Source organism: Homo sapiens, chromosome 4 (genome assembly GCF_000001405.40).
Source record: "Homo sapiens chromosome 4, GRCh38.p14 Primary Assembly".
Lineage (NCBI taxonomy): Eukaryota > Metazoa > Chordata > Mammalia > Primates > Hominidae > Homo > Homo sapiens.
In genome coordinates, this window is record NC_000004.12 from 120,784,868 (window position 1) to 120,801,002 (window position 16,135).

General features: G+C 35.4%; 1 protein-coding gene across 23 annotated transcripts in view, besides 3 other annotated features; it reads right to left on the bottom strand.

The window, feature by feature from the left end:
• The window catches only part of PRDM5 (PR/SET domain 5), a 238,436-nt gene that overhangs the window by 100,577 nt on the left and 121,724 nt on the right, over window positions 1–16,135 (bottom strand). For 13 of the 23 annotated variants that reach the window (XR_938678.2, XR_938680.3, XR_938679.2 and 10 more), the window contains 3 exons: window positions 14,794–14,878; window positions 13,400–13,590; window positions 131–224 (listed from right to left, as the gene is read on the bottom strand). Coding sequence is in view for 20 of the 23 variants with exons in the window: in XM_047449557.1 (XP_047305513.1) it covers window positions 131–224; window positions 13,400–13,590; window positions 14,794–14,878 (370 nt within the window). In the remaining 3 variants the exon portion in view is untranslated. Of the gene's footprint in view, window positions 1–130; window positions 225–13,399; window positions 13,591–14,793; window positions 14,879–16,135 lie in introns of those variants that run through there. The other 10 variants (XM_047449558.1, NM_001300824.2, NM_001379106.1 and 7 more) reach the window with 2 other exon arrangements.
• Window positions 454–623: an enhancer, noted in NCBI's record as "experimental_72587 CRE fragment used in MPRA reporter constructs". NCBI's record gives its function as "activates a minimal promoter by MPRAs in K562 erythroleukemia cells, with activity observed for the non-introgressed 4:121706561 variant allele {active_cell/tissue: K562}" and the evidence as "EXISTENCE:reporter gene assay evidence [ECO:0000049][PMID:34662402]".
• Window positions 5,749–5,918: an enhancer, noted in NCBI's record as "experimental_72607 CRE fragment used in MPRA reporter constructs". NCBI's record gives its function as "activates a minimal promoter by MPRAs in K562 erythroleukemia cells, with activity observed for the non-introgressed 4:121711856 variant allele {active_cell/tissue: K562}" and the evidence as "EXISTENCE:reporter gene assay evidence [ECO:0000049][PMID:34662402]".
• Window positions 11,499–11,668: an enhancer, noted in NCBI's record as "experimental_72637 CRE fragment used in MPRA reporter constructs". NCBI's record gives its function as "activates a minimal promoter by MPRAs in K562 erythroleukemia cells, with activity observed for the non-introgressed 4:121717606 variant allele {active_cell/tissue: K562}" and the evidence as "EXISTENCE:reporter gene assay evidence [ECO:0000049][PMID:34662402]".

Below are 16,135 nucleotides of genomic sequence, written 5' to 3' on the forward strand. Positions count from 1 at the left end.
TTCTTATGTTTACAGTCAGATTATATAAATACTTATAGGCACACCTCTGGGATGTCTACATTCTCAAAGGTTATAAAAACAAAGTATGAGATAATTCCTTATATTCTCAACTGCCTGAATCGTGACTTACTGTTATGTATTAGCAGGTGTCTCTGTAAAGAAAATGGGGTCCGGAACAAAGCTTTACATTCTTCACATTGGAACGGTCTCTCCTCAGAGTGGGTCTGCAGAGGAAAAACACTGAGTCAGGAGGATCTAGAATCAACCAGTCATTACAATGAACGAGTGGAGCTTGGATTCATGATGCGAAAGAGGAAAGAAGGGAAGGTGGACAGTATCTGTTTCTTCTAGTGCCATTCTTCCACCGTAAAATTGTAAAGACAAATGTGCTGTGTTTGCAAGAGGAAAAATAACTTTTGAATGCTCACAGTAATTATTAACTTGATAAATAGTAAAAAAAAAATATTCCTATTATCTCAAACTGCTAATCTGAATACACACTGAGATTTCTCAGGGCCTACTTTGTAGTGAAACTGTGCGTACTTTCTCTGAAAACTAAGCCTCCCCTATCACTGGCCAGGCTTTTACTCTGCTGGTACAACATTTGCAACACAGATAAAAGAAATTATTAAAAGAGAAATTGTTTTCACCCTTTTCTCTCAACTTCACTGAATCAGTTCAAATAATTCTAGTCCTAGGTGCTGCTTTTCCCCTAAATTACACTAGAGCACTTATTCATGTTATAATTAACCCTAATTAACATTCATTAAATATTTAATTTGTGTCAAATGCTATTCTAAACACTTTACATAAATCATTTCACTTAATTACAACAGTAACTGGATTAATAAAACACTATTACTGACTCCAGTTTACAAATGATAAAACTAAGGCTCAAAAAGTTGCGGTAACTTGGGAAGGTCAAACAGCATAGATTTCCCAAACAATATTAAGCACCCAGGTACATAAGAAACAAAAATATACTGACAAACAAGAAACAATGAAAAGCCACTAACTAGATCTAAAATTCAAAAACAAAACCAAAACAAAACAGCAAACACTGCTCACTCCACCTCTTTTACATTACACACCAGTATAAACCCATTCGGCACAAATCAGTAAATAAAATCTTATTCTACTATAGATGGCATGATAATAAGTCTCATAAATGCTAAAAAATCAAAAATTAAACTATTATCTCATATTACATAAAACAAATCATAACTGATGGGTTTTTATAATACATGTGACAAAAACAAAAAAGTAATTTAAAGAAAAGTCACTTTATTTATAGCCTATTAATTTATATATTTTCTTAGTTTAGCAGACATAATATTAAACATACAAGCATAATCTATTAGCATAATGTTGGTGAGAAAGACATTTTCATGTTTGGTTTTATTTGTGAAAGATATAGAGAAAGCATGAAAGAACAGATATTTAAGATTAGTCAGGATAAATCACAGATAATCTAATGTGCTATTTACCCAAAGAAATTAAAATGACAGCATGGAAATACATAGATCAATAAAACAGAAAAACAAGTAGGTCTCTTGCATTACATAAAATACATGAACATTTAGTACAGGAGAAATATGGCATTTAAAATTGGTGGGAAAAGAGTAGAAAGTTTAGTAAATGGCTTTGAGGCAAACGTCCAGATATTCGGGCAAAAGTAATGTTGGATCTACCACTCACCTCCTACAATAAGATAAATTGCAAATCAATTTAGGTATTTTTCTTAAAATGAAGAATAACACTTTAAATGTACTAGAAGAAAATCCGAGTAAATTTTTAAATAACTTTTGAGTCTGGAAAGGCTTTCCAAGCAAGGTAAACCAGACATTGAAATGACAGAAATAAACTTAAAGCTCCAAAGCAAAAATCTTTGATGACAAAATAAATATCTGCAACATAAAACAGAAGTGTAATGTTGCTAATATAAGAAGTTATGGCATCTTAATAAGAAAAGATGAAAATGGACAAAAGGACTCCCTTCCAAATAGCACTCCTAAAATTTCATTCATCGTTTTATTTTATGCCAGGTCTACGCTATGCGTTTCATGCCTCTACTAGCAAGTCCTATTTTAGATGCTGAGCCTATAGCCATGAACCAAAAGACAATGTCCCTGCTATCACGAAGCTTTTACACTAGCAGAGGAGAAGGACAATAAACAAATGAAAAAGTATGTACTATATTAGGAAGGGATAAATGTGATGGAGAAAAATAAAGCAAGAAAGAAGATAACAAACATTTCAGAGAATGGGGTAGCAATTTTAAATAGGTGGTCAAGAAAATTCTAGCTGAGAAGGTGACCTATGAGATAAGATCTGATGGATATGAAGGAGCAAGGGTGGGTATTCGGGTGACCTAGTCAAGAAACATCACGGAAGCCAGTGTGGTTGGAGCCATGTGAAATGGGCAGAGAAGTGGAGAGATGCAGTCAGAAGAATGGGAGAAGTGAGGAGGAGAAGCAAATCGTGTACGGCCTGACTGGCCAGTGCAGGAATTTTGTCTTTTATTCTAAGAGAGATGTAACTTTCTGCAGGATTTTGAGCAGATGAGGGACACAATTCACCTGACATTTAACAGGATGCCTTGATGGCTGTGTTGACAACAAAATGTAGGGGAAAACACAAAGTGGAGAAGCAACAGCAATGCAGCAGGAGAGAGATAATTAGAGCTTATCCAGGTTGGTAGCCACAGATGTGAAGAGAAGTAGTAGAGTTCTAAATATCTTCTGAAAGTGAACAGGTTTTGAGAAAGTACCTGGATATGAAGCATGAGACACAAAAAGAAGGAGGCAAGCATGACTCCAAGATTTGTGATCTGAGCAATGCAATGATGGATTAGCCACTAACAGATATGCAGAAGAGCAGCAAGAAACAAGTCTGAGTAAAACATCAGGGGTTCAATTTGGGGCAAGTTCAAATAAATATTACGAGATGTCTAGCACTACAGGTACTTGAATATTTCAAGTCTGGATAATAAGGTATAAGATGGAGATGTCAGATTACATATGGTATCAATATTTAAAGCCATGAATATGATAAAGGAATGAAAAATTAAAAATAAAGATACTATCTGTGATTAATCAGACTGCCAAAGATGAAGATGATGGATACCATTCAGTGTTGACTAAAGAGTAAAAACAGGCAATCCCACATACTGTAATTGGGAATAAAAATTTTCTGCATAACAATGTGGTTCTATGTACCAAAATGACAAATGTGCACATCCCTTGACTAACCAATTCCCTTTACAGAAATACAACTGACAAATTTTTGCAAAAACTACTTTTTTTTAAATAAAAGGAAAATTCCTAAATGCCCATAAAAAGATATAAACCTGGTTAACTAAACTGTAGTAGATATTATAATTCTATATTTATTTTCTTAGATATGAAAAGTCATGCATATCATACTTTAGGTGACAAAAGCAGAATGCAAAACATAATATAAAGAATACCATTTAAGCCGCATACATATATGCACACAGAATGGAGTCCAGGAAGACATTCTACAAAACATTGAGGAGGGTTTTTAAAGGAAAGACAGTGATATTTGACAGAATGTTTGCTTTCTTCTTTATACCTTTCTTTGCTACTTAGATTTTCTACAAAACAATAAGTAGACAGCATTATCATAAAAAGGTAGAAACTATTTTGTTTTTAGAGCATCCAGGTTGGAACACAGGATTGCTCCCATCTTCTAAAAATACTATATTCCTCCCTAATTCATTTTTTCTCTTTCCAAATTTGGGACATAACATGACTTAAGGAACATGACTTAAGTTGCTTAATTATGAAAGAACCTGGGACAGCATAATGCCTTTTAACTATGTTCAACCAAAGCCACAACATCTAGATATTGGCCTAAAGCCAATGACATATTTTAAGTAGTAAGATGTCTGTGCATAGCCAGGTGAATAAATACTTTTGTCAAGAAGGATGCCAATGTCACCATCTGGGTTGGGATGGCAGAGAACCCATGCATTCAATCAACTGGAAGACATTGAGAAGCCACCTAATTTAAGTAAGGCACAGTAAGATGCTTGCATGTTGCAAATAGAGAACTTCTGTCTCCAAGATATATTTTACAAGTATCAGATGAAATCAAGCTTTTTTAAAGGTACTTGTCCTTCAATCTTTCACCTCTAATGAATGCCAAGCTTTTCACTGATTTATTGATCAAATGATCCTTAATAACCCTATGATGTTCTGTAGAACATCCCATTTGTATGCCAAGTCACTGATGACACTAACATCTCCCAATGTAACAAATGAACTAGTCCATGAACAAGTACTATGAAACATATCTTTTTATATACCAACTCTTTTGCAGATATAAAAAATACATAAAATCTGTTGCACTATTTATAACACCTACTAGAATGTCTCGAAAATGCTTCAGAAGGTTTCTGGCGTAATGTACATTAATTACCAGATTAATACATTTCTAGCCACACAGATCAAATATTAATTCCATGAGAATAAAATGAAATTAAGGACCATTTACAATTAAAAATTATACTACTGACTATCAAGAATATATATTACTCCATGGTAAAAGTATTTCTTGGTAATGGTATTTCTTCTTTGGGGTATGTGCAAACCAATAAAACTACCTTAAAATTAGAAGAAACAACTAAAGATAAAACAAATTTGGAGAAAATATTCCAGAGGTATGTTTGCTAGAACGATTATTTTTATAGAGTTTTATTATTGAAGACTCAGGTTTCATGTCATAGCACATTACCATCCCAGTGGGCCACACAATAAAGCTAAAGCTACATAAAATACATGTCATCTGGATGTTTACAAGGTCTGTGGATTAAATTTTTACTGTCAAATTTATAACTGACTTCTTGAAAAGTACTCCTCCTCACAAAATAAATTGAAACTGGAAAGATATTGAAGAAGTCAGTTACTTTAAGCTCAGTAGAGAAATGGGTAGCTCACTCCACATAGAGAAGTTAAAAGCATGAAATTTAGTTGATGTTCCTACATAACTATAGTCTTGCAGAGCCAAGTCCAACCTTCCCACTGCTTCAAAGCCACAATTCCATCAGTACAAAGCCACAATGCCAGGGAGCCAACTACTGAGTCCCCACAATCCTGATTAGGGCAAAGGGAAGTTGCTAAGAGAAGAAATAACCACAGATTTTCAGATGAAGTTATAGAAGGTAGCAACAAAGATTCCAAGTCAGGAAACCTTCCACTCAACGACACTGGTAAGAGCCATAACTCATGTCTCTAATTAAGGACGCTTCTCACAAACACTGCTTTGAACAAACACATGACCTCCTAGGCTGGCTGACTTGACCATTAACTGAAAAGTTAAGCCTTTTTACAACAGCTACCATTTATTACAGCTAACTTAGAGCGTGCTGAACAAGTGTATTCTCTCCTCTGCAATGTAGCTCCTGAAATAGATGGAAATGACAACCATGTGGCTTCACAGAAATAACCAGATAACATACACCTGTAGCTTCACTCATGAAGATACAGTTTTCACACTCATCACAGTTATTGTACAGGAGAATTTTCTGCATAAAAATAGGCAGCCTAATATTAATAACTCATATGTAACAACTCTTAGTAACTATACTAGCTCCTCTAGTAGATAACTTGTTTTCTAGGCAGGCTGGCTAAAGAAATTGGTAATTTTTTTAAATTGAGATTTATGTACCATCTATACAGAAATACGTAAAGATTCCTAAAGTTCAAAGAGACAAACAACAAGGGAGCAATTTTAGTCCTATGAAAAAAATCACGTTCTATAAATATTAAAGCCAGTTCCTGAGTAGCAAATAGTTTTCTACATAACATAAATCTGTAGAATTTTTACAGATACTAAAATGGTAATAGGATTTCAAATATTTGGTGAATACTGGGTCAGGCAAGATAAATAAAAAAACAGTTGGATGGATAGATAGATTTAGCCAAGCATGGTGGTGTGCACTACTCGGGAGGCTGAGGTGGAAGACTGCTTGAGCCTTGGAGGTGGAGGCTGCAGTGAGTGGAGATCGTGCCACTGCACTCCAGCCTGGGTGATAGAGCAAGACCTTGTCAAAAACAAACAAACAAAAAAACAGAAAAACACACATACAATTTTACTCATCACTGATAAAATGTAATGAGAATCACTTTTTAATTCTCAGACTGAAAATAGAAGACTAACAAAATGAAATATTGGTGAAGAGTAAAATGGCATTTTATACACTGTTAAGAGAAAGTAGAGCTTTTCAGAAGGCAGTGGGTAGGAGGATCTAAACATAAAGTAGACTTCCTATTTGACCCAGAAATTCCACACCTGAGATCTATGCACAAAAATACTCTTAGCATAGTTTTAAAGTTTTATATAAAAGGATGTTCACTGCATTATTGTTCAAAATAGCAGTGGTTACAAAAAAAATGAGTAGATTTATATGAACTAACATAAACATCCCTGCAAATCATATGTTAAGGCAAAGAAGTAGGTTCCTGAATGATACATATGTGTCATAGTACTAGTTACTTTTAAATATACTTATCTCCCAGATGGGCAGCTGGAACTCTGTTCTTCTCCAAACTCACCTAAAAGAACTTCCTCTTACACAAAAACATTAGTGTGAAATGCAAATGTTACTAAAGATTTTACAAGAGATATGAAAGAGGTGCCTTCTATGGTAGAATACTTCGCTTGAAAACTTCCTGTCTGATCTAATACTTTGAAATCTCTTCTCAGCCTCAGGACACTGAGTGACATCTCATTCTCTCTTTTCCATTCCAATGCCCACCTTTTCCAATTCTGACCCTCACCCCCTGGCTCTGCCACCCAACCACCACCAACTCTCACTGCTATGGACTCAATGTTTGTGTCCGACCAAAATTCATAGGTTGCGTCTTAACCCCCAATGTGATGGTATTAGGAGTTGGGACCTCTAGGAAGTAATTAGGTTCTAAGGGTGGACGCTTTGTGAACTGGATTAGTGCCGTTATCAAAAGAGATAGGAGAGCTTGCACTCCCTCTTTCTCCCTCATGTGAGGATACAAGAAGACAGTCATCTGCAAACCAGGAAGTGGGCCCTCACTAGATACCAGATTTGCCAGCACCTTGATCTTACATTATCCAGCCTCCAGAACTGTGAGAAATAACTGTTTGTTGTTTAAACCACCCAGCCCAAGGTATTTTGTTATAGCAGCTTAAACTGAAGACACCCACCATCTCATCTCTAATCTTCTATGTGCAAACCCATTACAAACTGTGACCGAAAGTATGTCAAAGGCATTATAATAAAGATAAAAATTGTGTTTTCCTCAGTCTACAAAATATCCTCCAGTTAGGATCATTGGCCTTCATATATATTGGCACATGTGGTAATAATTAACAAATAATTTGTACAAATAATGAGTACAGTTTTTACTATATTGAAGAAAGTCACTCCACTGGTGCGGAGACTGAAACCATGACAGGCAGGAGAAGGTAGCTGTTGGGAAGGTTCACAACTCGAGCTCCAAAACTGACTACCAGACATGCATGTACGATTTTAAAGTTATTTTCATAAGATATCTACTAAAACAGCAAGAACTATTGGAACCCCTGTATACTGTTGGTTGAAATGTAAATTAGCATATCCATTGTAGAAAACAGTATGGAAGTTTCTGAAAAAGTTAAAAATAGGACTACCATATGATCCAGCAGTCCCACTTCCGGGTACATCTTCAAAGAAAGTGAAATCAGTTTGTCAAAGAGACACCTACACTCTCAGGTTCATTGCGTAAAAGCCAGGATATAAAAACAACCTAAGAAGCCATTGACAGATGAATGGATAAAGAAAATGTGGTATATAGACACAATGTAATACTATTCAGCCTTAAAAAAGAAAGAAATCCTGTCATTTTTGGCAACATTAATGAACATGGAGGACATTATGATAAGTGAAATAAACCAGGCACAGAAAGACAAATACTGCATGATCTCACTTACATGTGGAATCTAAAAAGGCTGAACACACAGAAGCAGAGGGTAGAACGGTGGTTGCCAGGAACTAGGGGTAGAGGTAAAGGGGCAGGGGAAGGGAGGAATGGGAAGATGTTGGTCAAGGGATACAAAGTTTCAGTTACACAGGATAAGTAAGTTCTAGAGATGTATACTACAGCAGGGGGTCCCCAACCCTGCTACAGCAGGATTATCCAACCCCACAATATCAGCCCGTAGCCTGTTAGAAACCAGGCCACACAGCAGGAGGTGAGTGGCGGGCAAGTGAGTGAAGCTTCATCTGTATTTACAGCCACTCCCCATCACTCACATTACCGCCTGAGCCCCACCTCCTGTGAGATCAGTGGCGGCATTAGATTCTCACAGGAGGGTGAATCCTATTGTGAACTGCACACACAAGGGATCTAGGTTGCATGCTCCTTATGAGAATCTAATGCCTGATGATCTGTCACTGTCTCTCATCACCCCTAGATGGGACCATCTAGTTGTAGGAAAACAAGCTGAGGGCTCCCACTGATTCTACATTATGGTGAGTTGTATAATTATTTCATTATATTTTACAATGTAATAATAATAGAAATAAAGTGCATAATAAATATGATGCACTTGAATCATCCCAAAACCATCCCCTGCCCAACACTGGTCCATGGAAAAACTGTCTTCCATGAAACTGGTCCCTGGCATCAAGAAAGCTGGGGACCACTGTAGTATAGCCTTGTGGCTACATTTAGTAATAATGTATTGTACTTGAAGATTGCTAAGAAAGTAGATCTTCATTGTATTTAATTATTTTAATTGACAAATAAAAATTGTATCTATATGGTGTATGACATGTTTAGTGAAATGGCTAAATCAAGCTAATTAACATATCCATTATTTCACATGCTTATCCTTTTTGTGTGGTGAGAACACTTAAAATTAACAGAGTAGATTTTGGATATTTTCACTACAAAAAAAGATAACGTGTGAGTAATGAATACATTAATTAGGTGGTAATCATTTCACAATGTGTGTGTGTGTGTATACATATAAACATTACATTGTACACCATAAACATACACAAATTTCACTTGTCATTATGCTTCAATAAATAAAAAAATAAGTAAAAAATATTGTTTGAAATTGTACATTGCTATCTCATCATCCACTTAAGAGAAAGAACAATTAAAATAAGGCAAGCAATTTGCCATTAGCTAAGTATTTAGATAATGACCTGTATCTGTGGTTCCTTCTGTCAGATTCAAATCCTGCATGTCCCTCATAATGTGTGCAGCTCATTGTGAACGTGCTTCTAGCATACAAAGATAGGTGATTTTGTACAATATAGCAACACCTTAAATGAATGGGTACTACCTCTCCTGCAGCATCACTGAAGAGTAACCTGATGCAAAAGCTAAAGGAAAGAGTGGCTGTGCTCTAACTGTTGAGTGAACATCACTCAGTCTCCAAGATGACATCTTTCCAGGAAATTTTCAAGAACTTTTTTTTTTACTATGTTAAACTTACACCATATGTTTTGGTTTTAGATTCTAATCCATGATATTTTTAGAAACTTGTTACTGTCTTTAAGGTCTAATAAAATTTATACCAGGCAAAGAGTGAACTGTATTGCCTTTTAAATTGTTTGGCTATGACCAAATAAATAATTCTGACTCCAAAATCTAACACACACACACACACACACACACACACACACACACACACACACATACAAATACACACAAATACATGTATTATCTTATTGAATGACCCTTTACTCTATATTTTATATTCTACTTTTTTTTTTTTTTTAAGACGGAGTTTCGCTCTGTTGCTCAGGCTGGAGTGCAGTAGCACAATCTTGGCTCACTGCAACCTCCACCTCCCGGGTTCAAGTGATTCTCCTGCCTCAGCCTCCTGAGTAGCTGGGACTACAGGCGTGCGCCACAACACCCGGCTAATTTTTTTGTATTTTTAGTAGAGATGGCATTTTGCCATGTTGGCCAGGCTGGTCTTGAACTCCGGACCTCAGCGGATCCACCCACCTCATCCTCCCAAAGTGCTGGGATTACAGGCATGAGCCACCACACCCAGCCTTCTATTCTATTTTTTAATGGCCAGTCATCACTCAGTAAATTGATTTCAAGACCTACACAGCAGTCATGGCCCAGAATTTGAAAAAGACTTGATGAGACATTAAGGCCCAATGGAATTATTCCAGGAGAAGTTGTGACTAGATTTCCTCATAAGCCTCTAAAGTTTCATCCCTGGAAGGCTAAGTAAAGGGTCAGGAAAAAAGATTCTTTTTTTGAATAGGCACACACCTGTCCCCTAGGAGTTTGTTTGTAAATTCATGAGGGCAAAACCCCTCCATACTCACTTCCATCAGCAAGTAAGTGGTGCCAGCTCTAGGATCCAAGATGGTTCACTACATCTAAACATGTATCCTACAGCAGGAGGAGGGAAGCACTGTACAACTTACCCAAATTTTGCTTTGCATTATATATGACAGGGAACACAATGGAGGGTGAAGAGTAATTGAACGGTTTCTGTCTCCTCTGGCTCTGAAACACTGGTTCAATTGTGATTTAAAGAATCGAAGTATATTTGAATTGAGATAAATGAGATTTTTTAGCTAGATCCTAAAATACAACTGTAATTCAGATCAAATGATTGTCAGAAAAAATGAAGAAGAAAAAGTAACCTATTGAACCCATATAACTGGCAAGATGATGAAATAAATGAGTAACTAAATTTTCAAAAAAAAAAAAAAACACCCCTTTAAAATTTCTCTATATGCTGGCCAGGCACCGTGTCTCTCACCTGTAATCCCAGCACTTTGGGAGGCCGAGGTAGGCAGATTGCTTGAGGTCAGGAGTTCTAGACCAGCCTGGCCAATAGGGTGAAACCCTGTCTCTATTAAAAATACAAAAATTAGCCAGGCATGGTGGCACATGCCTGTAGTCCCAGCTACTTGGAAGGCTGAGACACAAGAATCACTTGAACCTGGGAGGCAGAGATTACAGTGAGCCAAGATTGCGCCACTGCACTCTAGCCTGAGTGACAGAGTGAGACTCTATTTCAAAAAATAAAAATAATTTCTGTATATGCTATCATAATCACAATGAAAAATAATATTCTATTTTTCAAGCAAGTCTAAATGTTAAGAACCAACCCAAAATAACTCAAATAAGTATAATAAAAATGTATATATTATATTCTCAAAAAACAAAAGAATAATTAATTAAAAGTAATAACCCTTGAGCATACTAAAAGATAAAGATCACACTGACTCTTAACGTTTTTTTCTAATTTCTGTGGCATATCCTTACTTCTATGTTTCTCAACTAGCCATTAATGATTGTGATGGAAGAAAAGGTTGATCTTCTGTTTTTACATGATTCTTGGAGAATATTTCAGGTATTTTCATGTAACAATGCCAAATATATGCTAGGATCATAACACAGTAAGAAATACATTTGTCTAGTGCAGAAGGATTGAGTGTTGCTTTCCAGTTTGGAAATTACAAGCATCATTGTTTCTATGCTTCCCAAGACATCATTATTACTTTTATATGATTTATGGCTTAAAGTATGAGAGATGGTGCAAAGATCCTGTGCCAAATTCCCATATGGCATATAACATGAGCCAAACTGTGAAAAACTCATAAATGTGGATAGATCAGTTTCATCAGAGAAAGGAATAAGAGGGTTCCAGAGACTAAACAGGAACTAGCCAGATAATTTTTTACAGTCACGTAATTCCAAAGCAGCAGTAATGAACGCAGTCCTGCCCCGAATGTACAATGCTTGAGGTAAACATAAAGATGGTAAGGAAGAAATTAGGCAGAGACGATTTAAGACACTATAATCAACACTGTTTATTCTTTGGTAAATCTGCCTTTTTCTTTCTCTTTTTGGACTAAAGTTGAAATTGGTATCATAATTTTTAAATGATTTCAAAAGAGATAAAATGAAGTCTTTGGAAGTATCCCATAAATATTATAATAATTATAATCCCCATGGAGTATAATAACTGAAAAATTATTTTTAAAAGATCATATACATGTTATTTAACAGCATGCTATAATACATCAACTAAAATCAATAAGCAAGTATTTTGTATCTCATGAAAATGTTTTTACATGCATTTCTAAGATGTTGAATATCTTTGGACCAATTTCCTGAATTCAATTCAAGCATGATGTATTATCTACATGATACATTCTGAAACAAGAACTTGAGCAAAGGTAAAGTATAAGAAATGCAAACCAAAATCAACAGAAGAAACTAGGACACTATATTAATAACTTGAAGAGAAAGAAGAAGGTAGAGAGGTCACACAGAAGGCAGGCAAATATTTAGTTGTTTTAGGTATGGTTAATGCAGATAAAAGGATAAAAAGCTGGAGAAGTAGGCTGAGGTCATGATGTAGAGAACTCTGAATGACAGGTGAAGGTGTATATACTATTACATATGTAGACACTGGCAATCTACTTTTAATATTAGAGTATGAGAGTGATATACCAGAGTGATGCTTTGGGATGATTTGCCTTGTAGGATGGATTGCAGCAGGAAGTGATAAGCCTAATTAGATGAGTATTAAAGGAATCCAGGGGAGAAATAATCAGGATGTTGGAATGGTAAAGGAAGGGATGACTGTGAAAGTGATGAGATAATGTAAAGGGTAGAGTCTTTATATTTGGCTTCTAATTTTATAAAGGGACCAATACTGAATAAAGAGACTAGGATAATTACATGCTTTTGTCATTAAGACAAAGAGGAAACTCCAAAAGAGAAGCTATCTTGGGCAAAGAGAATGAAAAAACCATTCTGGGGCATGCTGAATTCATTATGTCGAAAAGATGCCCAGTTATAAATGTGAGTCTGAAACTTGGGATTAAAGAAAATAAATCATTTGGAATTCATCAGTATGGTGTTGATAGCAGAAGTCATGGATGTAGTTGACATTTCTTAAGGAGAGAGAACACAGAAGAGGTTCACAGGCAAAGGATCCAGAATAACCTCCTGAGGGGAAAGGAAGTCAAAAATGTTCAGAGAAATTGGCAGAAGACCTAGCAGAGCATACTACAAGGATCCCAAGGATGAAGAGAATTTCAAAAAGCTAACGTAAATAAAAACATCAAAGTTTATGGAAAGAAGGAAGAGAATAAAGACTTCACAATTAGTAAACCCCATAAAATTAATCTAATAGCGGTGTTAAGAAAAACTAGGCACTCTGCTTATAAGGACAGTTTCAAAAGAGAATGGAAGACAGGAAGGAGGCTGTGAGGGGTTATGGCCCAGGTGAGTGATCTTCTCTAGTTGTTGCATTATATACAGTAGGCCCCAGATGTACAAAAGCTTTATCAAAAATAAAAATTGAAAATCACAGCAGCAAATTCATAAAAAATAATAATAATATTAATAAGTTTTACCTTCTTATGATTCTTGTAAACATTTCTGTGGGCAAATCCCTTTCCACAAAGTTTGCATTTGTAAGGTTTGTCTTCGCTGTGTATTACTTTGTGAGCACCCACTTGATCAAGCCTCTTGAAAGACTTATTACAAATCTCGCAATTATAGGGTCGTTTTTCTATTAAAAAAATGAGTGGAGACAATCTCATATCTATATAAAGGTAAAGGATAAAAGAGAAAACACCCTTACCTTATATTACTTCTTACGGTAAGAAAACTAAAGGATGGTCAAACAACTAAAAAACATCTACCATCCACATAATAGACACATAAATGTGTCTACTCCTAAATGAAATATGAGCTTGTTCTCTTACAGACGTATTTTGAATTTTTAAAGTAGCTTAGATATAAAGAAAAGGTTTACATTCAAGGAAGGACTCCTATTTCCAGATGAAAACCATGCTGATATGTGACAGTTTAAATCAGGGTCAGGGCCCCAAATACAGAAAGTGACCTGACAGAGATGGAGACAAAGAACAGAGCTGCCTTCCCCCAGGGCCACAAAGGCCTCATGGAGGCAGAGCTTCCAATGCTCGGCAGGAACCAGATATTTACACTGGTATGTAAAATTCGTATTTATGCAATATCCATATAACATTGACACCTAAATAAAAAATATATAATATGTATCAAATAAAGCATACCTAAAAGATAACAGGTTTTGATCTGATTTTAATTTACTAAAATATTCATATGTATCAACAACTTGCATATTCAAAAACATTCTGACTTCAATCGCCTCAAATTACAGATATCTTAAACTCTAGAGACTCCATAAAGTAAAAACTATTTTCAGAGCTTATTTTTTTAATCTGCATTAGTAAAACAGAGCTATTCATAAGACTTGCTTAAATGAAACTACCGCTTTAAAAACTTACATACTCAAAATGTATTTATAGATTTCTTACTAACATGTATTAGTAACTTAGCTAGAATATAAAAGTATCTAAAAATGCAAGAATTATAATTTTTGAATATCTACTAAATGTCAGACACTATGCTAGCACAGTACCTAAATGATCTCATTTAATCTTTGCAGCTAATTTGAAAGGTAGGCACCAGTATCCCATTTCACAAATGAAGAATAAAGAAACTGAGGCTCAAGGAGGAGTAAGTGACAAATTACATGGTGATTCTGAAGATCTTCAATATCATTTACTCTAAGCACCTTTGCTCTGTAAATAAACTGAGGACTAAAGAATTAAATAACTTGTTCAGAATCACATGACTACTAAAGGTCCAAAGCAGAATTCATAGCTAAGGCCCCTGATTACCACTCTTAGAGTTTATAAAAAGTGACAATGTAATTTTTTTGTAATGATATCACTATAAACAAAAAAAGTATATAGTTTACCTGAGTGGGTGATCATATGACGTTTTAGCTGATTAGCTGAAATAAATTTCTTCATACATTCTTGACAATCAAATATCTCATGAATCTGCAAAAGGTTAAATAGACAGTTAAATCAACTGTCAAAGCCTAGTAAATTACACAGCTCTCAAGCAAAAGTGTAAACATGTGAACAGCTGCCACTGCAATACCCAAACTATATATTACAATTCAGCCCTAATTTGTTCACACTAACCTATATACACTGAAAATGCAGTGGACATAAGTTATGTAGTAAAAAATATCTTTTGAGACATAATACTCACAGTCCTTAAAAATGTAATACAGCTGTCCTATTTAGTACATATTAAATTTATACTCTGTAAAAAATTACACCTAATATATAGTAACTCTTCTGTTATGCACAAATTTAGACTTGGAAATATGTAGCATGCAGTTAATAATATTCCCTTTACAGTAGCCAACAATATTTTAAACTTAAATGTACATAGTAGAGAGTGCAACATTAATTACAGTAAAAGATCAGAAGTTACAGGATTCTGAAAAGCATTTAGTTCACAATAGAAGTTTCACATGAGCCAGATGCAGTGGCTCACATTTGTAATCCCAGCACTTTGGGAGGCCAAGGCAAGAGGATTGCTTGAGCCCAGGAGTTCGAGATCAGCCTGGACAACAAAGTGAGACCTCGTCCCTACAAAAAATTTTAAAAATTAGCCAGGTGTGATGACATACGTCTGTGGTCCCAGCTACAAAGGAGGCTGAAGCAGGATGATTGTTTGAACCTGGGAAGTCGAGGCTTCAGTGAGCTGTGTTCATACTATTGCATTTCAGCATGGGTGACAGAGTGAGACTCGGTCTCAAAAAAAAAAAAAAAAGTCTCACATGACAGGAGGATCACAACTTTTAAAATGAGGAAATCTAGTCAAAGGATCCAAAGTAGCAGGTATGCAGGATGAATAACTCTAAAGATCTAATGTATAACACGAAGATTACAATTGATAATAGCGTATTATATTCTGGATTTTTGCTAAGTGAGTAGATTATAGTTGCTCTTGCCACAGGAGGAAAAATGGGTAACTATGTGAGATAATGGATGCATTAATTTATTTCACTAAAATAATCATTTAACTATATGTGTATCTCATCACATTATGTTGTATAACTTAAATATACAGAATAAAATGTATTTAAAAAATACAATAAGGGGGGATATAACTTCAGTAAACAATTGGCTAATATAAATATTAAAACTGAATATTAAATTAGTTATTTCCCTCCCAGACACTAACACAGAGAAACTGGATAGGTGGTATGAAAAGTAAAAGTCTAGGTTTTCAGAAACAAT